This window comes from Homo sapiens, chromosome 20 (genome assembly GCF_000001405.40).
Source record: "Homo sapiens chromosome 20, GRCh38.p14 Primary Assembly".
Classification (NCBI taxonomy): Eukaryota; Metazoa; Chordata; class Mammalia; order Primates; family Hominidae; genus Homo; species Homo sapiens.
Genome location: NC_000020.11, coordinates 57,195,571 through 57,216,797, shown reverse-complemented (window position 1 = coordinate 57,216,797; position 21,227 = coordinate 57,195,571). Strand labels below are relative to the sequence as shown.

Below are 21,227 nucleotides of genomic sequence, written 5' to 3'. Positions count from 1 at the left end.
GACAGGGCCTCCACTCCTCCTCGGAGAGATGGACCCGCTGAGCCGCAGACCTCGAGGCTTCCCCTCCCCACACACCTTCCCCTATGTGGGAGCTCTGCGGGGAACTTTCTCTGACCCACTGAGGAGTCGGAGTCAAGGTCTATGGAGAATTCCCCAGCCCCCTCACCCTCAGGAGACAGTCCCTCACCCTCAGGAGACAGCCCCTCGCCCTCAAGAGACAGCCCCTCACCCTCAGGAGACAGCCCCTCGCCCTCAGGAGACAGCCCCCTCGCCCTCAGGAGACAGCCCCCTCGCCCTCAGGAGACAGCGCCCTCGTCCTCAGGTGCACCCCTCTGGAGCTGCTCCAGGAGGTTCTGACGGGCTGAAGTCCCAGGCCCACAGTGTTCTGTTTTGACAATCTCCAAGCTTGCCTTACTTCCCCGCCCTCTCCAGGTGGTTCCTGGGGTCACCTCTCAGACAAACTACTTGCATTCAAGTCCTTGACTCAGGACCTGCCTCTGGGGTCACTGAAGCATGACAGAGGCCAAGTGTCAACCACACAGGGCAGCCGGGAGGGCTTCCTGGCAAGGGGCAGCTTTGGCACCGGCACAGCTTCTGGGACCTGGTGAGGGCCTACCAAGTGCAAGCTGATGTCCTCAGCCTGCCCCCTTCCTGGACCCCCCCGGCTTCAGGATGCTACCGTGAGAATAAGTCTTAGAACAGCCCGCTCTGGCCTTCTCTAGATGTTCCAACCCAGCCTCTGTTTTTGAGAATCTTGAATTTGGAAATTGCGTCACTTGTTTCTGTCTGCAAAGCACTGTCAAGTTTCTTTCCCCTTGTCGCCCTGCTTTGCTGCACTTTTTCTGTCTCTGGGTTTGGAATCTTAAAACAGCCTGTGGTTCTCTTAAAAAAAAAAAAAAATGAGGTTGGAAAGATGACCCAGCCCGAAGACTGTATTTGTGGTGCTTGTTTATTCCTTGAGTGTGCTTCAGGAAAGGGGCTGAATTTACCTCATTCTATTTTGGTCTGGACCTGGAGGCTGGAGGAAATGCGGTCCCCAGGAGAAGTCTAGAAAGATGAGTCTCCCCATCCTCCATGGCTGCCCGCCCACCTCCACAGTGCCAGATGCAGGCAGCTGCCCATCCGTGTGGGATTTCCCCCAGAGCCGTGTCAGAAGCTCTGCAGTGCCCCCCAGATTTTTCTGGGGGGACCCCCCAGAGTTCTTGATGTTTCACCAGAGTTCTTGGTGTGTTCTGTGAGCTGGAATCCAGCTCGCGGCTCAGTTCCACTGGGTTTCTGGATGGATCATGCCTGGGTTGAATGGAACAGTAGAGCCTCCAGTTTTCCAGAAATTCTGGGGCTCAAACCCTGATATCTTAAGCAAAGAGGGACAAGAGTCAGGTCCAAAAGGAAATGTGAGATGTGCTTTCTTCCCAGCTGTTGCTTTCTGCCCACCTGAGTCCTCTTGATTTTTGCCTGATGTGGGGAAAGGAGGTGGCTCCGAAGAGGTGATGGGGACAGTAAATGGGGGCACTCAACCGGAAGCCCATGCAGCCTGGCAGTTTCCAGTGAGGGGTCAATTTGAGGTAATTTGACAGCCCCCTGGTTCCATAGCCAGGCCTGTGAAGGTGGGGGGTATGGAGGTGCCCAGGGGCTGATGAGGGTTTCCCTTCAACTAGGATGTGCAGCTGGGTGCCCATGGCCTGGGAGTGTGGGTGCCCAGTGGGACATAGAGTGGGCTGGGTGGGCTAAGGCCCCAGTGAACTGTGAGTCAGAGCCATTTCTGGAGCTACCTGAATAATCTGAAAAAGTATTTACCATTTCTCTTTTAATAATGTAAACTATTGGAAGTGAAACCAGAAAACCTTACTGGCCATAAGGATGCAGAGGATACCAGCACATTTGTCCAGCGTGCATCTGAGGCCTGCTTTGTGCTAAGCTGTGTGCCTGGTGGAGAGGCCGCTCCAGGGCTGAATAAAATAGGGCTGGTTCTTGCTGACAAAAAGCTTAAAACCTGGCAGGAAAAGAGGAGAACCCAAAAAACTATACAAACAAACTGAAACTCCAGCCCAGATGGCGCAGGGGAGAGGACTTGGGCTTGGAGCGTGTCCGACGTGGATGCACCATTAGGGCATCAGTGGACGCTTCCCTGGGATGCTCAAGAACAGGCAGGTGTGAGGGAGGTGAAAAGGCAGGGAACAGTGTTGCAGGCAGCGGAAACAGCATGTGTGAGGGGCTGTGGTGGGCTGGAGACTGGCACAGATGAGGAGGGCTGGGTGGGAGGAGGCTGTGGAGACAGGGGCCGGACCATCCAGGGCCTTACAGGTTGGATGACCTGGAGTTGACAATAATGCCTCCTCTCTCTCCCCAGTTTCTCGGTTTGGACTGTCAGTTCCATAGTCTTCTTTATCACAGAACACATTAGAGAGCTTTGGCTTTTTATCCTAAGAGCTGATAAAGGGTTTGAGGCAGGGAAGTTAATTGCTCAGCCCCTGCAAGCTGCTGGGGCAGGGGGAGTGCGGGGTGAGAAGAGTGGAAGGGGAACCCCCGGGTTCTCTGGGTGGTAGCTCTCCCTCCACCATCAAACCATCACCGTGCAGGGGTGACACTTTGCTGGAACAAGGCTCTGGGGTGGTTCCATTCACTACCTGCATATCTCTGAGCCTCAGTCTCCCACCTGTGAGAGGGGACAACAGTGCTCGCCTCTCAGGTACCATACGGTTCAGAGGGCTCGCTCCGCACCTTGTTCTAAGATGGTTCCATCTTGAGTTGGGGTCAGCTCACTGCAGCTGTGATCTTACTTTAGAGCCAAGGCAGCTTGAATCCCATGGTGGAAGATTCACACTGACATTGAGGTTTGCTCCAACCAGCTGCGAACCTTGAGTCTCTGGCTTTGCGCTGGCATCTTGAGCATATCTTTCCATTTAACTCATTCTCAGAACAATCCTCATGGCTACCTCCATTTTACAAACAAAAGAACCTGATGGACAGAGACTGACTTGCTCAGGGTTACTTCACTGAAATTTAACTCCAATTTTCCTCAACTCAGAGCCTGGAGCCCTACAGCCTACATCCCTGAGCACCCACTGTGGGACCCGAGGACCACTCTGGGGATTTCATCACAAAGAGGATTCCGGGCCTCTCACCCCCTGATTGTCTCTGCTGGTGGCTGTGTCTCTAATGAGGGAGAGCCTTCCATTTGTCGCTGTATTTCTCTTCCCTCTTGACCCCCAGCCTCTGTGATCCACACCTTGACACAAGTTTGAACGGCTCGTTACTGCGCTCCATTGCCGGAGCAGACATTTCTTTGCAGCAGGACTTTTCAGAGCCTTTAAAGAGCTAAGGTGCATTATGACATCTCTAAGGAGCAATGTGTCATGTGGTGCTTCCCAACCTCATTTCACCACAGAGCATTTTGGATTTTTGATCCTCTCATTTTCCTCTCTTAGCTATCCTATTAATAAGTTGCAGTTTTTGAGACCTTGATAAACTCCAAACCCTTTGTCTTGTGGATGGAGAAACTGAGGGCTAGAACATAAGGGCCACTGACTCGCCTTCTGACTGTGACAACGCTGGCCTCCGGGTGCTGGACGGGCATCTTCCTGACTTTCCCATGAGTGGCTGGGTTGGTGCTGTCTGCAGTCAGCTGGCCCTGCCCAGAGGGAGACAGACAGCCGTGGGGTGGGTGAGAGGGCCGTGGGTGGCCACCCGAGCTCTGTCTGGGGCAGGAGGATATTGTGCCTCTTTGTGTATTTTTCCACCTTACTCCCCAAAGCTTTAATTTTAGCCTTCCTGGATATGCACCGTCTTCAAGAAAGTGTATTTTTAAAAAGCCTTGGACCTCCCTGACTTCCTCTTCCCGTCTGGGGGATGCCAGGGACTGTTCTATGATTTGGCAGGAAAGCAGGGCATTCCCTGAAGCTGAGGTGGGGGAGCCTGGGGCCCGGGCTGAGTCCTCCCCAGCCTGCAGCTCAGAAGGGGCACCCCTTGGACCCGGGAGCTGGCTGCCAGGGTGGGGCCGGCTTCCTTCTGGGCTCCTTTGATCTCCTTCCCGGGCTTCCCTGCAGGCTGGGGTTGCTGCTGGGCTGACTCCAGGTGCACGGCGGGTTGCAGTTTCCCGGCCTGACTCACCGCAGCCGCAAGCCTGTGCTCCCTCCATGACATCATGCTAGCCTGGGAATGCTCTGGCCATGCTCGCTGGCTCGCTCTCTTGCTCCTTTTCTTCTGAGGAATATCCTTGCGGCCCAGCAACCGTTCACAACATGCAGGCCTTCAGAATGTCCGGCCTGCAGTTTTCCAAAGAGCAGCAGAGTGAGGCGAGGGCGAGGGTCAGACTAGGGGTCGGGGAGCGAGTCAGCTGGGTCTGCGAGTGGCAGAGCCCGTCATCTCCACTCCTGCTTAGAACTCCTCCCGGCTTCCCAGCGCTCAGCAAGACCTGACCTCCCGCGGCCAGAGGCCCTGCAGGGGACATCGTGCACCTGTGCCCTCTCCTCACTACTTTCTCATCATGACTTCCGCATTCGGTTCTCTCTGCCGGGAACGCTTTTCCCTGCCCTTTTAGCTGTGTTAGTTCTGCTCATCCTCTGACCCCCTTCGGGAGATGTTTCTATAAAACGTCCTCCCCGCACACCCTCACACCTCACATCTAGTCCTTTTCTTTTGTCTTGCTCACCCAGAGGCCTCTTCCCTCCTTCACGCCACTTAATTAGGGTTTGAATGACCCTCTTGTGTGCTACGCACGCCCAGCCTCTGGACCCGGAGCTCCATCTCTGGCTGCCGCTGTGTCTCTGGCTCCTAGCAGAGCACCTGTGGAGAGGAGGCGTTTCAGTGTGGATCTCAGGAGAGAAACTGTATTCATTCCTCCAGCTGCTGAGCCCAGTGACCGCCAACTTAGTGGCTTAAGACAACACACATTTATTCTCTTAGAGTTTGGGAGGTCTGAAGTCTGAAATGGGTTTTACTAGGCCCAAATCAGGGGGTCCATAGGGCTGCATCTTTTCTGGAGAGCCTGGGGGAGGATCTGTTTCCTTGTTGTTTCTGGCTTCTAGGAGACAGAGCCCCCTTTCTTGGCTCAAGGTTCCCAGCCGCAGTCACACCACCCTGACCCCTGCTTTCGCTGTCACAGCTTATTCTCTGGCCTCCTGCCTCCCCTGTTATCAGGACCCTTATGATTCCTTTGGGCCCATGAGGATAATCCAGGATAATCTCCCAACTCAAAAATCTTTCATCACATCTGCAAAGTCCCTGCTGCTGTGGAAGGTGGCATACCCACAGCTTCTGGGATCAGGGCCTGGGAGGTGGCATACCCACAGCTTCCTGGGTCAGGACCTGGATGTGTCTGAGGGGGTGTTATTCTGCCTACCACATCATCTGAAGTGTGTTTTCCTTTTTTTTGATGGTGGGCCTGGGCCAGCCCCGTCCTCTCCTGCCCTGCCTCCTCTAACTTGGGTGGGGCTCCTGGAGATGGCTTTCTGTGCTTCGAGTAACCTCTGGCCTGGGGCCTGTTGCTCCCAGCAGAGGCGTGTCCTGAGCCTCCCTGCCCCTCAGTTTTTGTACAATCCCCATCCCCATGTAATAGGTGGTATTAAGGTGATATTAAGTGGGGATGCGGATTGTACTGACCTCATTGGAGGAGGGAGGAGGAGGTGGGAGAGTGTCCCTTAAGAGCCTAGTGTGCAGTAGGTGCCCAGTACGAGGTGTCAGGGTGCTGAGGGCCCCCGGCCACCAGCCGGGTGATTCCACATGCGGCCCTTCCAACCCTGGCTTGCGCCTGCTCCCTGAAGGTGGTGGGGGGCTGTGTCTGAAGGTAGCAGAGGGGGATATCAGGCTGGCTCTCAGGCTGTGATGGCGAGAACATTTTTCATTACACTGCCCTAAATTATGGCCCAGAACTGGTGTCTAATCCTCGTTCAGCCACCAGCTGCCCATGCGCAAGACAAAAACTCTCTCATCTTTCCAAGCTGAAAATTAAAATGACCAGAATGGATTTCCAAGGGCCTGTTCTGCTCCTAAGACCCTGGATGGCTGGGCCCAGGGGCAGGAGGCTGAAGGAGCCCCGATGGTGGGCGCAGACAGGATGGGGACTGTCCCAGGTAACGAGACAGTGTGCACTGTGTGGCCATGTTGGAATTCGTGTTTCCTGTGGCTCCAACGCGTGCCTGGGTGCCTCAGGGCCAGAGAGATCCTCAGACTCCCAACTCCGCTCTGTTTTGCCCTGGGGCAGTTTCAGGGCCATCTTCCCTGGATCTGTGTTTGCGCTGAGGCCGGGTCCTGCATCCCACATGGGAGTCTTACTCCCCTGGGAGGCGGGTGGTGGGTGAAGGCCCATGAGGATCAGTCTCTAAATAGCCTCTAGGTAGGTAGCCAGAGGCCAAAAAAAGGACTTCCTGCCTTCCCACGTTTGAGATTTTAAAATATCCCCTTTTCCATTGTGGTAGAACTTTCCAGGGGAAGGTGGGCTGGGAGACACTGGAAACGAGCCTGGGGATGTGCGGTTCCTCGTCCTGCTCCCCTAGAATTAGATTTCAGCCGATTCACCTGGGCGTCCTTGGGAGGAGGCACCTGAAAGCCCAGCAGCACGCTGTCCCCAGGCTGGTGGTTAAATATTAACGCCTCTTAGTGCGGCGGCATTGGGGTCACCAGCGGTTCATGCCTTGCAGAGCAGGGCTATGGGAGAACCCAGTTTCAGAAGAGAAGAGAAGACGACTTTTGGGGTCTTGCTGTTTCTTTAATCAGAAACAGCCTGAGAAAGTGGAAGGATCATCAAGTTTATAGACAACAGACGTGTGGCCTGTCCCCTGGCTCTGCTGCCTTTCTCTGAGATTAGAGGAGTGGAAAAAACTGTCCAAACCCAGGAAAGAAGATGAGAGCCAGGCTTGCCCCCTCACCTAGGTTTGTTCTGCTGTTCAAGTATAACATGGAAATATGTTGCCCCATACAGATCTAGCTTTTTCCAGAAATAGGGCATGCTTACTAAATTGAGACAATATTGACGTACATGTGTTAGCTTGTAAAGGGAAGCAAAATACTTCACAGTGAATTGTTGCTACCACTCTGGTGTGTATGCGTGTAAATGTTTCATGCAGCTGTGTGTACACTTTAAAACAATTGTTAACATAATGGCACCATACTCTATATTTGGGGCTTAGATTGGCCTTATCCATTTTCAAAAAATAGCTTTATTAAGATTTGAAGTGTATAATTCAGTGGTTTTTGGTACATTCAGAGTTGTGCAGCCAACACCACTGTCTAATGTTAGAATGTTTTCATCACCCCGAAAGGAAACTCCATACCCACTAACAGTTACCCCCATTTTCCCTACCTGTCTAGCTGTTGGCAAACACTAATCTACTTTCTTTTATTTTCTTTTTGTTTGAGACAGGGTCTCGCTCTGTCACTCAGGCTGGAGTGCAATAGCGTGATCACAGCTCACTGCAACCTCCGCCTCCTGGGCTCAAGCGATTCTCCTGCCTCAGCCTCTCGAGTAGCTGGGACTACAGGCATGTACCACCACGCCTGGTTAATTTATATACATATATATATATATATATATATATATATATATATATAAAAATATATAAATCTAGGTATTTGTTTATTCATTTATTTTTGAGACAGAGTTTCGCCCTTGCTACCCAGGCTGGAGTACAATGGTGTGATTTAGTAGAGATGGGGTTTCTCCATGTTGGTCAGGCTGGTCTCGAACTCCCGACCTCAGGGTGATCCACACGCCTCAGCCTCCCAAAGTGCTGGGATTATAGGCGTGAGCCACCGTGCCTGGCCAATTTTTATATTTTTTGTAGAGACGGGGTTTTGCCGTCTTGCCCAGTCTGGTCTTGAACTCCTGGGCTCAAGCAATCTGCCTACCTCTACCTCCCAAAGTGCTGGGATTACAGGTGTGAGCCACCACACCTGGCCCTACTTTCTGTCTTTATGGATTTGCCTATTTGGGACATTTCATAGAAATGGACTCATATACTATGCAATCTTTTAAGTCTGACTGCTTTTTCTTAGCATAATGATTTCAAGATTCATCTGTGTTGTAGCCTTTATCAGAACTTCATTTTTTAATGCCAAATAATATTCCATTGTATCAATTGACTGTATTTTGTTTATCTGTTCATGAGTTGATGGACACTTTGGCTGTTTCTACCTTTTTGGCTGTGAATAATCCTGCTATGAACATTGGTGTATAAGATTTTGGGTGGACATGTATTTTAATTGCTTCTGTGGGTAGCTGAATTACTGGGTCACATGGTAATTCTACATTTGACCTTTTGAGACACCACTATACTGTTTTCCAGAGTGGCTGCCCCATTTTCCAATCCTACCATTAGTATATGAGAGTTCCACTTTCTCTACATCCTTGCCAGTAACACTAGTTATCATCTGTGGTTTTGGCTCTAGTCATCCTAGTGGGTGTGAAGTGCTGTCTCACTGTGGTTTCAATTTGCGTTTCCCTAATGGTTGCTGATGATGTTTAGCATCTTTTCATGGCTCACTGGCCATTTGTGCATCTTCTTTAGGAAAATGTCTGTTCAAATTAGCCTTCTCTATTTTGGGAGTCAGTGGCGTGCTAGCTTTACAATATGGGTTTCAAACACTCCTTCTTCCATGTTCTTGATCAAATTATATAAGAAAGAATTATCTGTTGATAATTTGCAAAATCTGTGGTTATAAAACCAACTGGGGGCCGGGTGCGGTGGCTCACGCCTGTAATCCCAGCACTTTGGGAGGCCGAGGCGGGTGGATCATGAGGTCAGGAGATCGAGACCATCCTGGCTAACAAGGTGAAACCCCGTCTCTACTAAAAATACAAAAAATTAGCCGGGCGCGGTGGCGGGCGCCTGTAGTCCCAGCTACTGGGGAGGCTGAGGCAGGAGAATGGCGTGAACCCGGGAAGCGGAGCTTGCAGTGAGCCGAGATTGCGCCACTGCAGTCCGCAGTCCAGCCTGGGCGACAGAGCGAGACTCCGTCTCAAAAAAAAAAAAAAAAAAAAAAAAAAAAACCAACTGGGGTATGGGGATGGGAAAGACCTTCCTATTTCAGTTTCTTTTGGGCAAATCAAAATTTTCATTTCTTTTTGCACCAATTTTTGCATTTTGCATTTTCCCAGAAGTTTCAGTCCTACAAATTCTGTTTCTTAGCACCTTCCTATCATATTTCCACCTTGTCAACAAGTGTAGATTTATACGGTCCTTTGAAGCGGCTGTGCAGGGCTCTGTTGCCTTGGATGTGCCATAATGTTTTTACCAGTCCCTCTCACTGGATGGTTAGTGCTCAGTTTTTCTGTTATAAACAATGTGACTGTTGTTTGGGTTATCTGTCTCTGAAACTAACCACTCATATGTAGTGGCTTAAAACAACATCGTTTTATTGCTCAGGAATTTAGGCAGGGCTTAGCTGGGTGGTTCTTCTACTCTTTCTGGTATCTGCTGTAGTCACTGATGGAGCTAGGAGCTTGACTAGGTCTGGAAGGCCTGAGATGGCACCTCACTGGGGACTGGCTTGGTTTTTCTCTCTCTCTCTGGTTTATAGACCCTTATCCTCCATGACCTGTGCCTCCTTCCCCTCCATGTGGTCTCTTCCTTCAGCAGTGTAGTCAGATTTCTCGATTCAGTGGCTTCCTTCCCAGAGGGCAAAAATAGAAATGATAGGCTTCTTGAGTCCTAGTCCTGAGCCTGGCAGGACCTCAGTTCCACTGGGTCCTACTGGTCACAGCAGATCACATGGTCAGTCCAGACTTCAGAGGTGGGGAACAGACTCCACAAGTTTATGGGACAGCAGCATGTGCATACAGAGACAAGGAATTGTTGGTGGCTGTTATTTGCAGAAAATCTAACACTACTGTGAACATAGGACACTTTTCTGACAAATTTTGGAGTCCAAGGTAAACATTCTTGGAATGGACAAGTGGTCTGTTGACTGGAGAATCATGGGCAAGTCACATAACCTCTGGGACCAAGACATGTAAAGTCCCCATCCTAGGATTTCCTGAAGTTTAGCAGAGAATAGACACCAACACTGACATACCTTGTAATAAGTATAGATGCTCTTCCAGGAGTGTCTTGGAGTTTGCTGCCAGGCTGGTCTTAACCTGGCTCTTCCTAATCATTGAAGAAGATGGCATTATTCTCATTTTACATAAGAGGAAACCAAGACACGGGAATTATCTGGCGTAACCTTGCCTTATCCCTTCTCCATCACCTGGGTTTCATCCCCCTCTAGTATTTTCTCTGCCCCACACAACGCTGTGATGACAACACGTATCATACAGGATTTGACATCTTCCTATGTGTCTCTTATCCCCAGGTGAGTGAAGGAGGTGGCAGGGTTTAAGCGCTCAGGCTCTTGAGTCAGGTTTCCTGCGCTGTCGCCTGGTTCTGCCACTTATCAGGTGTGTCCCTGGAGACAACTGGCTTCATTTCACTGACCCCAACTTTTCTCATCTGTAAAACAGTAACAGGACTTTGATCATTTCATAGGGCTGGCGGGGAGATTCAGAGAACCGAGGCGTGGAAAGCACCGAGATTCTCAGCAGTGGCGAAGGTGAAAGAACGCATTTAGGTTCCTCAGGGCCTTTCACCCTGAGCCTTCCTTACCTCTTCTCTCACCTGGGCTGGGCCGGGGAGGCCAGTGTGTTCAAGGTAAATAAAAATGTCACAAAGGGCTCCTTCAGTGCTCTCCTGGTTGTAAGAACCAGTGTTCTTTTACGATGCTCAAGGTGGCAGCTAGAAATTCCCCCTCTCCGAGCTGTCAGACTGGACCTGGCTGCTGAGTAATTCCTTCCTTGTCCTTTCCATGAGGTCCAACCTCATGCCTGGGCTCTCAGTCTGAAAGCAAAGCCCGTGTTAGCATCTCACACTCGACCCATCTCAGCAAGGCTCCCGTCTCCCAGTGCCTTCTGATGAAGATTTGGCTCTCCTAAGTGTGCCTGGGACAAATTGCAAACTATGACTTGAAGGAGGGGAGTTGACGCATTCACGTTGATTCATGGATGAGTCAGTGCTGGCCTGTAGCATCTGGCCTCAGTGTCATAGCCTGCAATAAGAGAATGCTCAGTATCGTTTGGCGAGGCGTTCTCTGTTTAAAGGTCTCACTCTGTTCCTTTGGTTACCATTCATTGTTTTACTGTCCTCGAGGGCCTGTCCAGATATCTGGTCACATTTTCCTGCTAATAACAATTTTCCAGCAAAATCACCATCTGGGTTTGTGACTTCTGTGCTGAGGTGTGGATATTTCCTACAGGGGCCTTGGGAGCCTGATTCAGTAGGAGAAGTTGTTTCGACTTGGAGTGGTGCTTCTTGTCTCATCTGTTAATTGTTGAGAATCGCTAATGGTTCATTGACAACCTTGGTAGCTTTTCAAAGCCAGGAAAGTCATCCAGGCAAACTGGAGATAAGACAGCAGGAAATTCTTGTTTATAAGTTTAAAATCTGTGTAGACATCCCCGAAGCCAGCCTGAAACTACCTCTAAAAGAGCATGGGGAAGAAGAAGTAAATGAGTCATGAAAAATAATCTCATGACTTTAATTCAGTTTGGATGTGAAAGGTAAACTTAGGGTCTTCAAAGTCCTGTGTGGCTCTAAAAAGACTTCCTTGCTTCTGTCATCTCTCTGTGCTTGAGAGAGGAATGAGTCCTTTACAATCTTTAAAAACAAACAAACAAACAAACAAAAAACAAATACCTCATTCCTTATAGTCCTGGAGACTGGGAAGTCCAAGATCTAGGCGCTGGCAGGGTCAGTGTCTGGTGAAGGCTGCCCTCTGCTTCAAGATGACACCTCGTTGCCGTGTCCTCACATGGCCGAAGATGGAAAAACAGAAAGGGTCCAGACTTTCTCCCTCAAACCCATTCATAAAGACACCAATCCATCCCCAATGGCCTAATCACCTCCTAAAGGGCCCACCTCTTAATAATGATGCATTGGGGATTTTCAACATGAGTCTTGGGAAGGACAAAACATTGAAACCACAGCAATAACAGAATTAAGCATTTTCTGAATCAGGTTCTGGGGGTCATTGAATATTACTTAAAAAGGAGACTTTGAGGTGGCATGGGAGGAGGTGACTCCTGCGCCCATCTGTGGTCCTGGTGATGCGTCCATTGCTGTGGGGTGCCCACCCTCCCATGGCTAGGAGTGGGCACATAGATTGACTGGGCCAACTGGATTCTGTCCCCCAGAGTTTTGGATGGAGAGAGGCCCAGAGGGAAAAGCAGCTCCGATTCGTTCCTTCTGTGCTTGTGCCTGAGAAAATTGCGCTGTGCCCTCGCACCTGCCTCGGTTCCTGTCTGTTTCTGACCCTGGTTCTTCTTCCCTGTGTAGGCTTCTCCGGGTCTGTTAATCTCCCAATACTTGCTAACATTACAGGTCTGTTTCCCGTGTGTCTTCTCTGAGCCTTGTTCACATTGATGTGCCTGACGAATGTCTAACATATTATGGCATGCAGCAGAAGGGTGATCTAGCAGACCTCACAAACCTAGAGTTGTCCAGGTCAGACAGGAAGATAAATAGCGGTGGCTGTCTGCAGTGTTAGTACGGAGAGCTGGGGGCTGGAGCCAACCGGAGATGTGTGCCTCATCAAAGGGGACATGAGTGGCTCGGCTCCTGCCCGTGGCTTAGTGGGTTACATTCCAACGAGGTTGACTGGTGAAAGGCTCTGAAAAGGCAGTGTCCAGAAGAACTGTCTTTGTGTACAGTTGCAAGCTTGGGCTTGCAGGTAGCCTGGTTGGTTTCCAGTCCTGCCTGGACTGTCCTAGTGGCATAACCCTGGGCACACAACTTGACCTTTCGGATCCTGAGTTTTGAGTTCTGCACAATGGCATGGGGAATATTATCTACCCTACAGAGTGTTGTAAGAACTAAGTGACATGAGACTGGTCAGGCATTTCAACCTGGAGCCTGGCATATGGTAAGTGCTCCATAAAGGATATGCCTGACATCTTTACGTGTGAGCAGACAAGATTCACTATAATCACCAGGAAGATTAGATAACTCCAGGTATGATAGAGACTGTTGTTGCCCTGGGGCAGGGACCAGTGTCATGTTGTTCATCATTATGCCTTGGTTTCTGGTACAACACAGAGGTATAAATATTCTAGTTGACTATTAAAGGACTCAAAGTATTGAAACTTTGAATTCTTATTAAAAGTGTGCAAGAAATGTTATGAAGATCTTTCATACTAGAATTCTACTATCCAGAAATGTAACAATCCACTTATTTACCCTCTTATTCATCTACTCATCTACCCATTCATCCATCCATCCACCCATTTACCCATCCACTCATTCACCTACCCGCCCACCCATCTACTCATCCATCCATCCATCCATCCATCCACCCACCCACTCATCTACCCATCCATTCACTTATCCATCCAACCATCCATCCATCCATCCACTCATTCACCCACGTACCCATCCATTCACTCACCTACCCATCTACCCATCCATCCAACCACCCATTCACCCTCCATCCCCTGTCAAGTTAATTATGATTTTACCCATTTTGCTACTGTAAAAAGTAAGGAAGAGAGAATGAAAGGATTTTCACTATTAATACCATCAGTCCAGAGATTCACCTCCTAACTCTTGGTGGGCTCATAAAGATGGTGCACGTCCTGGAAATGAAGAGTATCTGCTCTGGTACACAGGTAAATGGGCTGAAACCCCAGCTTGGCAACTTCCTGGTTAAATGACCTTGGACCTTGGGCAAATCATGGCTTTACCATAAATTGAGTGGAAATGATATTCCCACAGCTTCGGGTTGTGGGAATTGAATGAGATAGTGTAGTGTTGAGCCCGTGGGACAGTATCTGGCACATGGTGAATAGTTCAGTCACTATCAACTTCTGCTCTCTGAGACTCTTCCAGCAACACGGAGGCTGCATAATCCCTGTCTTCCTATACTCTGTCCCGCTGGGATGCCCTTAACAATTTATGGGGTGAGATTGCCTTGTAACAGCTGCCTTTTCCCTGCGTGTATCTCTTTGTAGCTCTTCTGCACTCTCTTTCCTCACCACAGCTACTGAGGGGTCTTTGTGCCTGGATCTTGGTCTGATGTTCCCACTTGTCGGGGACCAGTGGACTCTTTCCCTCCCCTCCCACCCCATGAGGCTCTGCTTCCCATCTGTTGGGGTAGTGGAGCTGTGACCTGGCTAACGCGAAGCCCGTGTCTCTCCTCCTCTCTCGCAGGGAATCGGATCTCTTCCTGCTCGACAGCCGTACCCTCTGGGCCTCGGAGGAGGGCTGGCTGGTGTTTGACATCACAGCCACCAGCAACCACTGGGTGGTCAATCCGCGGCACAACCTGGGCCTGCAGCTCTCGGTGGAGACGCTGGATGGTGAGTCCCCCGGCCACTGCCAGTCCTAATGCAGCCTGTGCTCCTGGACTTCAGGAGGGTCTCAGCAGTGCTCATGCTTGCTTCACTACAAACAGGCTTCCCCGCCCCTCCCAACCAGTACTCCATGTTCAGCCTTTTGATCCAAACCAGAAGCAGCCCCTTCCCCTCTTTTCACAAGAAGATTACATGTTTGGTCATAGCAGAATTGGGTAAGGCTTCATTACACAAAGGGTGGTCCCATATCAGCAGGGGTGAGGGCAGCCCTCTTATGAGAAATGCAGAATCCTGGGCCCACCCCAGACCTGCTGCATCAGAACCTGCACTTTAACTAGAGCCCCAAGGTGACACCACAGGACACAGGACATTCTGGACTGTTCCGTGCACGGCAGGGTGTTTAGCAGCGTCCCCGGTCTCTTACTCACTAGATGCTAGTAGCATCTCCCAGTTGTGACACCGAAAAATGTCTCCAGACATCGCCAGATTGTGCCCTGTGGGACAAAATTGCCCTTGTGCAAGGCATTGGTCCCTTCCACATTAGAACCTGAATGTGCGTCTGACTCTCCAGTTCCTGGAGAATCCATTGTGAGTCTGCCCTCCCCAACACTTCTCATTCCCACTACAGTTCTGCCTCCTTTGAGAAGGGAAGAAGGAAGGATGGTGAGTGGAGAAGTGGGAATGGACTTCTCTATGCTAATTTTTCCCCACCCCAAACAGATAAGAAATGATATCTTGTAGCTTGACTTTGCTTAAAATTCAGTGGTGATGGTTTCCAGCTGTGTAGCTTCTTCCTTCCACCAGTTTTATGAACAAAACAATTTTTTCATTTATTTTTGAATAAACACCTTCACAATGTTTGCCTTTGGAGCTATGAACAATACATGTGTAACACTAAATAGTTTCCCTCCCACTTTCTTCTCCAGCTGCTGAGTTCCACTTCCCAGGGACAACTGCTGTTTCTGTCTTTTCAGAGATGCTCTCTGGGTATTTCAGCAATTACATGGAGATTCGGCTTTCTGTTTTTCCCCTCTCCCATAAATGGTGGCCTGGCATATACAGTGTTCTCCAGCTGACTTATCTCGGAGACTGGTCCTGTCAGCCGTTAAAGAGCTTCCTTGTTCCATGTGTTTTGTGTCCATGTAGCTCTGCCACCCACACACTGTGTGACGTTGGACAATTTCCCTAACCTGTCAGAGCCTGGGCTTTCTCATCCAGCATGCAGGTGATGAGAGGATTTGGGCCATTGGGTTGTTACAAGATGTAATGGGTTATTATGGGAAGAGTTTTTAAAAATAGTGCCTTAATGTACGTAGGATTTTCCCAGGCATCTTGGTAAAATGCAGATTCTGACTCAGCTGGCCTGGGGCAGAGGAGTCTGTGTTCTCAGACAGCCACCAGGTGACAGAAGCTGCTGGTCCCTGGACCGTGCTTTGAGTAATGAGGCTTAGAACAGGACCTAACTGTAATACACATGTAAAGGAGAGCAGTCATCATCCTCGTCATCATGATCACCAAAACTGACATACCCAGCTCTCCTGGGATGGATGCCTAGGTGTTTTCTAGTCTTTTGGTCTCACAAACAGGGCTTCAGTGGGAAACCTTGGTGTGTAGGTCGTTTTTCGTTTGAGTGTAGCTCTAGGACCAATTCCTGAAGTGGCATTGTCTATTTGTAGTTTTATTTTTTTTTGAGATGGAGTCTCTGTCACCCAGGCTGGAGTGCAATGGCACGATCTCGATTCACTATAACCTCCGCCTCCCAGGTTCAAGCGATTCTCCTGCTTCAGCGCTTGAGTAGCTGGGACTACAGGCGCCCGCCACCACACCGGCTAATTTTTCTATTTTTAGTAACACATTTCTGTGGACTTGTAGATGTTGGGGAAACCTTCCAACTGGGCCCCAGTGGGTTCTGTGCTTCTCTGTCTTGCCTGTTCTGCTGGCTCAGGTGATTTTGTCTTAATTGACGCCAGCCCTGTGGCCAGCTCCTCTTACTACCAGTCCTGCCCTCATCATTCCCCCCAGACACAGTCAGAGTCCTTTTGCCCCTTTCACCTCCAGCACCTACTCCCCCATTGTCCAGGTTATGGAGAAAGGCTCAGCATTGGTGGAGGCAGTGCTGCCTGATGGTTAGAGCTCGGGCTCCCGAGCCAGGCTCCCCAGGTTCAAATCCTAGCCCTGCTATTTCCGGCCTTGTGACCTAGGGTGAGTCACTTAATGTGTCTCATCTGGAAAATGGGGTTAATAATAGTTTCCATCTCCAAGGGCGGTTGTGAGGGATTAGATGAGCTCATGCAAGTGAAGAGTTTAATTGCTCAGTGTGTGGTTGCTACGAAGCACCACTGTCTCTTGTGATCCTCACAATTACCCAGCAAGGTAGATGCTGTGGCTCACATCCCCGTGGTGCAGGCAGGAAATGGAGGCTCCTGAGAACCCGCCGGGGCTCCATATTTCAGAGCCCACCTGAGACCCTCTCCATTCCTTGCAGCCTAGTGGCTGCAGGTTGCTATCTAGAGTCAGATCAAGGATTAGATGCTGTGTCCCTGTCCCCCTCTGACTCCGGGACACCATCTTTGCTCCTCCTGGGCAGGGCCCTGGGGGCCGGGTGTGGTGCCACCGCCCAGTGACTTGGCTTGTCCAGGTGCTGTGCGCGCCCAGGCAGTGAGTTTTGTGTGGTTGCCCAAGTCGGGGGAGGATCACCCACTTGGATTGTCAGGGAGGGGCAAAGTGTATAATGGCCAGTTGGCTGTGTGGAGTTTTGGACCTCTTGGGGGTGAGCTAAAGAGCAAGTGAGTCCGGGATTTTCGAGACATCATGGCTGTGAAAATGCTTTGTTTTCCCTACCGTGGAGGATCTCAAGCCTGGCGTCCTTCAGGGTCACCCTAGGGGGCAAACTGCACATGCAGGTGCCTGAGCTCCATTTCAGACCCACCGTGGGGGATCTCAGAGGATGCGCCCAGGAATATGCCCCTTTTCCCCAGTAGCTTTAGGGGTACATGTGGTTTTGTTTCCGTGGGCAAATCATAAAGTCTGAGATTCTAGTGCTCCTGTCAGCCAAGTAGTGCACGCTGCACCCAGTATGTAGCTTTTTATTCCTTAGCCACCTTCTAAAAGAAGACTTGGGTAACTTGAGGCCTGGCCCAGTGACAACACTCTGGCAAAGTCGTGCACGGTGCCTAGGGCAGCCTGTTTACAAGATGGTGCCTGGGCTGACAGGTACCCCTCGGGTTCTGGGTCTCAACCCTCCCCTGCCAGATCCTGCACGGGGAAGGGCAGCAGGGCCTGTGGGAGGCGGTGTGCATCCGACAAATCAGTGCACACCTGCTTTGTGCCTGGCCCCGAGCTGGCTGCAGAGACCCTGGTCCCTACCCTGGGGACCTCTTACTGATATTAACTCAGAGGATATCCTGCCTGCACCAGCACCCAGAGAAGACAGGTGCCCAGGCAGCAGCGCCCATGTCATCATCCAGAAGGGGTAGAGACAGGGTCACCTGAACCTTGCAACCACTAGGCAGTTACACTGTGCGTGGGTGGAGAGGAGCCCCCAGCAGCTGCTGGAATTTGGAGCCCGGACACCTCCTGGGGCCTTGCTTTTCTCATGCACACAATGGGCATGTGGAGGATAGTAATTTGGGCCAGCGTGTTTCCATTCTAGCGGGGCGCAGCCATCGCAGACCTTCTTTCAGAAGGCTGGTGTTTAACCCCACATGAGCCCCTGCCTGCCAGTGGTCTCCAAAACTCCAAAGCCCAGATGGCGTCCTCCTTCCCTCCCATCTGGCCACGGGTGGTGGGGGGTCTCGAGGTCAAAGTGCGGAGGTGCCCTTCTGAGACCACCCAGGAAGCGTGCGTCTTTTCCCTCTTCCTCCCAGCTGGGCCCTCCTGTGAGTCACCATGCGGAGCAGCCGCAGCTGGGGCTCTGCTCCAGGCCAGCGTGCCCTCGCGGGGAGAAGCCTATAAACTCCCAGGCACCTGCAGCTCATCAGGAGGAGGCCGAGCGGGGAGCCTGGTCTCATCTCCCTGGGGATGGGCTGGTGCTACAGGAATGAGGGCTGGAGTCTGTTTGTCTTTCCCTTAATACAGAAGAGAGGAGAGGCAGCCTCTCCACTTGTTCCAGCCCCCAGGCTGTGCTTCCCACCCATGGACTGGCTGTGTCCTACAGCCCATGCTGGATGCTGGTGTCAGAGACCCGGGGTGAATCTAGCACTGCCCAGAGCCCTGTGAGAAAGGAGAGGATAGAGAGGAGAGCGAGAGGAGAGGAGGGGAGAGGAGAGTGAGAGGAGAGGATAGAGAGGAGGGGGAGAGGAGAGCGAGAGGAGAGGATAGAGAGGAGGGGGAGAGGAGAGCGAGAGGAGAGGAGGGGAGAGGAGAGGAGAGCAAGAGGAGAGAAGGGGGAGAGGAGAGCGAGAGGAGAGGAGGGGAGAGGAGAGGAGAGGCAAGGCACCTTTGAGTGGAGGGAATCCTGCAGCTCGGGGCTCCTCCCACCTTGTGGCCTTAAGGCAGGGGAACCCTCCCTACAAGCCAGGCCCTGAGCTTCCAGTGTGGGTGCAGCTTTTAGAAGCAGGATGGACTAGCAACCCCTGCACACTCATACTCTGGCACCCCTGCCCCTGTCATAGCACAGCTCCTCAGTCACCTTTGTGTGGTCTCAGCAGCTACTCCAACTTCTTGGGGTCTTGTTCCTTTGTCTGTTCCATGAACATAATACCATCACGGATTCTGTAGGCGGCTGGAAGAAGAAAGTGAGTTCTCAGAACATGCTGAATCCTGGGCCCAGCACCCTGTCTGTGCTCATGAATGTTAGAAGTTCTAATTGTTGATTTATTTAGTTCTCTCAATAATCCTGCCCAGGTAGCACAATTGATATCACCAACATTTTATAGATGAGGAAATAGAAGCTGAGAAGGCTGGGGAACTTTCTCATGACTCCCAGGTGTAGATCTGGGCTTTGGCCAGAGGATTGTGACTCCAACTCCCTTCCTCTTTGCTGGAAAATCTTCCAAGGAATGTGTTCACCAGGCTGCAGCCTCAGGATGGGGTTTGGAGGGGCAGATGAGCCCCTGCAGGGGACCCAGCCTGGCCATCCGGAGGTAGAGACCCCAGGACCCTCTAACATGTTAGGTCTTACCTGGCTTTTCACCTGGGAAGGAAAGTGTTTCTAAAAAGCACTCAGAAGACAGTAGGCTTCTTGCAGGACTCACTGTGGGAGCCCCCTTTGCAGAAGTGACCAGGGCTGCCCTTGACTTCTATGGGCTCCTCCCTCCATTACAAAAAAAAAAAAAATTAGGGCCGGGTGCGGTGGCTCATGCCTATAATCCCAACACTTTGGGAGACTGAGGCGGGCAGATCACGAGGTCAGGAGTTTGAGACCAGCCTGGGCAACATGGTGAAACCCCGTCTTTACTAAAAATACAACAGTTAGCCAGGTGTGGTGGTGTGCGCCTGTAGTCCCAGCTACTCGGGAGGCTGACTCAGGAGAATCACTTGAACCCGGGAGGTGGAGGTTGCAGTGAACCGAGATCATACTACCGCACTCCAGCCTGGGCAACAGAGTGGGACTCTGTCTCAAAAAAAAAAATTAAATTAAAAAGTATGTTTTATGGCCATGTTGATATCAAGATGAATATTATAATTCTGGGTGAATTAAAAATTAAGATTATTTTTGAGATGGGGTCTTGCTACGTTGCCCAGGCTGTCCAGGCTCAAGCGATCCTCTAGCCTCAGCCTCCTGAGTAGCTGGAATTGCAGGTGCCCAGCTTTGAATTAAAAACCAAAACTTTCTTAGACACTAAAAGTTCATGTTTTATCTTCCGATTTTAAGAGACATTATAGTGTTTTCGTGGGCCCTGCATCCCAGCATGGGGAGTGAATGATGAATGATGGTCTTCCCCCACCCCCGCATCTGGTTGTTAGAACAAGTTTCCTACAGCAAATAGCCTCTCCACCTATGTTGGAAGCACAGTTATTCACTCAACAAACAATGAGCCAAGGACTGTTGTGCCCCTACAATGAGGCAAGGACTGTTCGAAGCAGCAGGGGCACAGCCTTGAACAAAATGAAGATTTGGCTGTTGTGTTGCTCACATTCTTCTAGGAGGAGTCCGACCAGGAACGAGAGACCATGTACTGAAGGGTAGGGGTGAAGCCATGCAGATGAGGTCTGAGGCTCTGAGTATGGTTCAGAAGGGCTTCCTGCTGCTCTACAAATCAATACGCCCATTTTCCTTGTGCCGTCTTCTACCCGCAAAGCCTGCTGCAGAGAGATGAAGACTGGTTTGGGCTGGGGAGACTGTCGTCCTTGCAGACATGGAAGCACCAGGTCATTTGTCCCAAGAAAGGGACTGCAGCCTTTTGTCCTGGTTCATGGTGTCTCCCTCCTCTTCCTTGTTTGCAGAAGAAATCACTCGCGACTCAGGAGGGCCATGTCAATCAGCCCTGCCTCTCAGATCCAAGAAGATGATCGGGGAGCCCTTGTCTGCCTCATGTTATACTCCCTCGTTGGGGACCCTTTTCTCCAGCTCCAGTAAGCGCTGGCTGTCCATACCCTGAGCTCCAAGGTCATAGGGCACCTCTCTCCCTCCTGCACCCCATCTTTGTTTCCTGAAGTAAGTCTGCTGGGGGTCAGGAGCATGTGCATTTTGGCTATCTGCATGCAGAGAGCCCTGAGCGTCTCTCCTGTGACACACGAGAGCACGTGTCTTACTTCATGCTCACTCCAGATTGAATTGGATGGGATTGCAGAGCATTTAAAGGATTGAAGGGCATGTGCTGTCCAAGTGTGACACTCAGCTGTGGCAGCTGAGGAAGGAGCCAGGAGGTGAGCCACTCGCCTGCGGCGGCTGTGGAAACTAAGCCCCACAAAGCCAAGGCTGGTGAGCGATGCCGCCCACGGCGCAGCTGGCTCCAAGGTGCCTTCG

At 51.0% G+C, this 21,227-nt stretch overlaps 1 protein-coding gene and 1 long non-coding RNA gene across 2 annotated transcripts in view, besides 3 other annotated features; one reads left to right on the top strand and one right to left on the bottom strand.

Annotated features, from left to right (window-relative positions):
- BMP7 (bone morphogenetic protein 7) overlaps positions 1-21,227 on the top strand; it is a 97,889-nt gene that overhangs the window by 49,844 nt on the left and 26,818 nt on the right. The window contains exon 3 of the mRNA NM_001719.3: positions 14,175-14,323. Coding sequence (NP_001710.1) covers positions 14,175-14,323 — 149 coding nt within the window. The remainder of the gene's footprint in view (positions 1-14,174; positions 14,324-21,227) is intronic.
- Positions 932-3,102, bottom strand: BMP7-AS1 (BMP7 antisense RNA 1). The gene is made up of 4 exons (NR_110631.1): positions 2,722-3,102; positions 2,303-2,430; positions 1,850-1,993; positions 932-1,290 (listed from the first exon to the last, which is right to left on the bottom strand). It is a non-coding gene; the product is annotated as a BMP7 antisense RNA 1 (long non-coding RNA).
- Positions 10,355-11,554: an enhancer, noted in NCBI's record as "BRD4-independent group 4 enhancer chr20:55780300-55781499 (GRCh37/hg19 assembly coordinates)". NCBI's record gives its function as "activates an origin of replication core promoter dependent on BRD2, P300/CBP, MED14 and CDK7 cofactors, and independent of BRD4, by STARR-seq in HCT116 cells {active_cell/tissue: HCT116}" and the evidence as "EXISTENCE:reporter gene assay evidence [ECO:0000049][PMID:35650434]".
- Positions 17,156-17,815: an enhancer, noted in NCBI's record as "H3K27ac-H3K4me1 hESC enhancer chr20:55774039-55774698 (GRCh37/hg19 assembly coordinates)". NCBI's record gives its function as "activates a minimal SCP1, AML or CMV promoter by ChIP-STARR-seq in naive and primed H9 embryonic stem cells {active_cell/tissue: H9 hESC(naive and primed)}" and the evidence as "EXISTENCE:reporter gene assay evidence [ECO:0000049][PMID:30033119]".
- Positions 17,816-18,474: an enhancer, noted in NCBI's record as "H3K27ac-H3K4me1 hESC enhancer chr20:55773380-55774038 (GRCh37/hg19 assembly coordinates)". NCBI's record gives its function as "activates a minimal SCP1, AML or CMV promoter by ChIP-STARR-seq in primed H9 embryonic stem cells {active_cell/tissue: H9 hESC(primed)}" and the evidence as "EXISTENCE:reporter gene assay evidence [ECO:0000049][PMID:30033119]".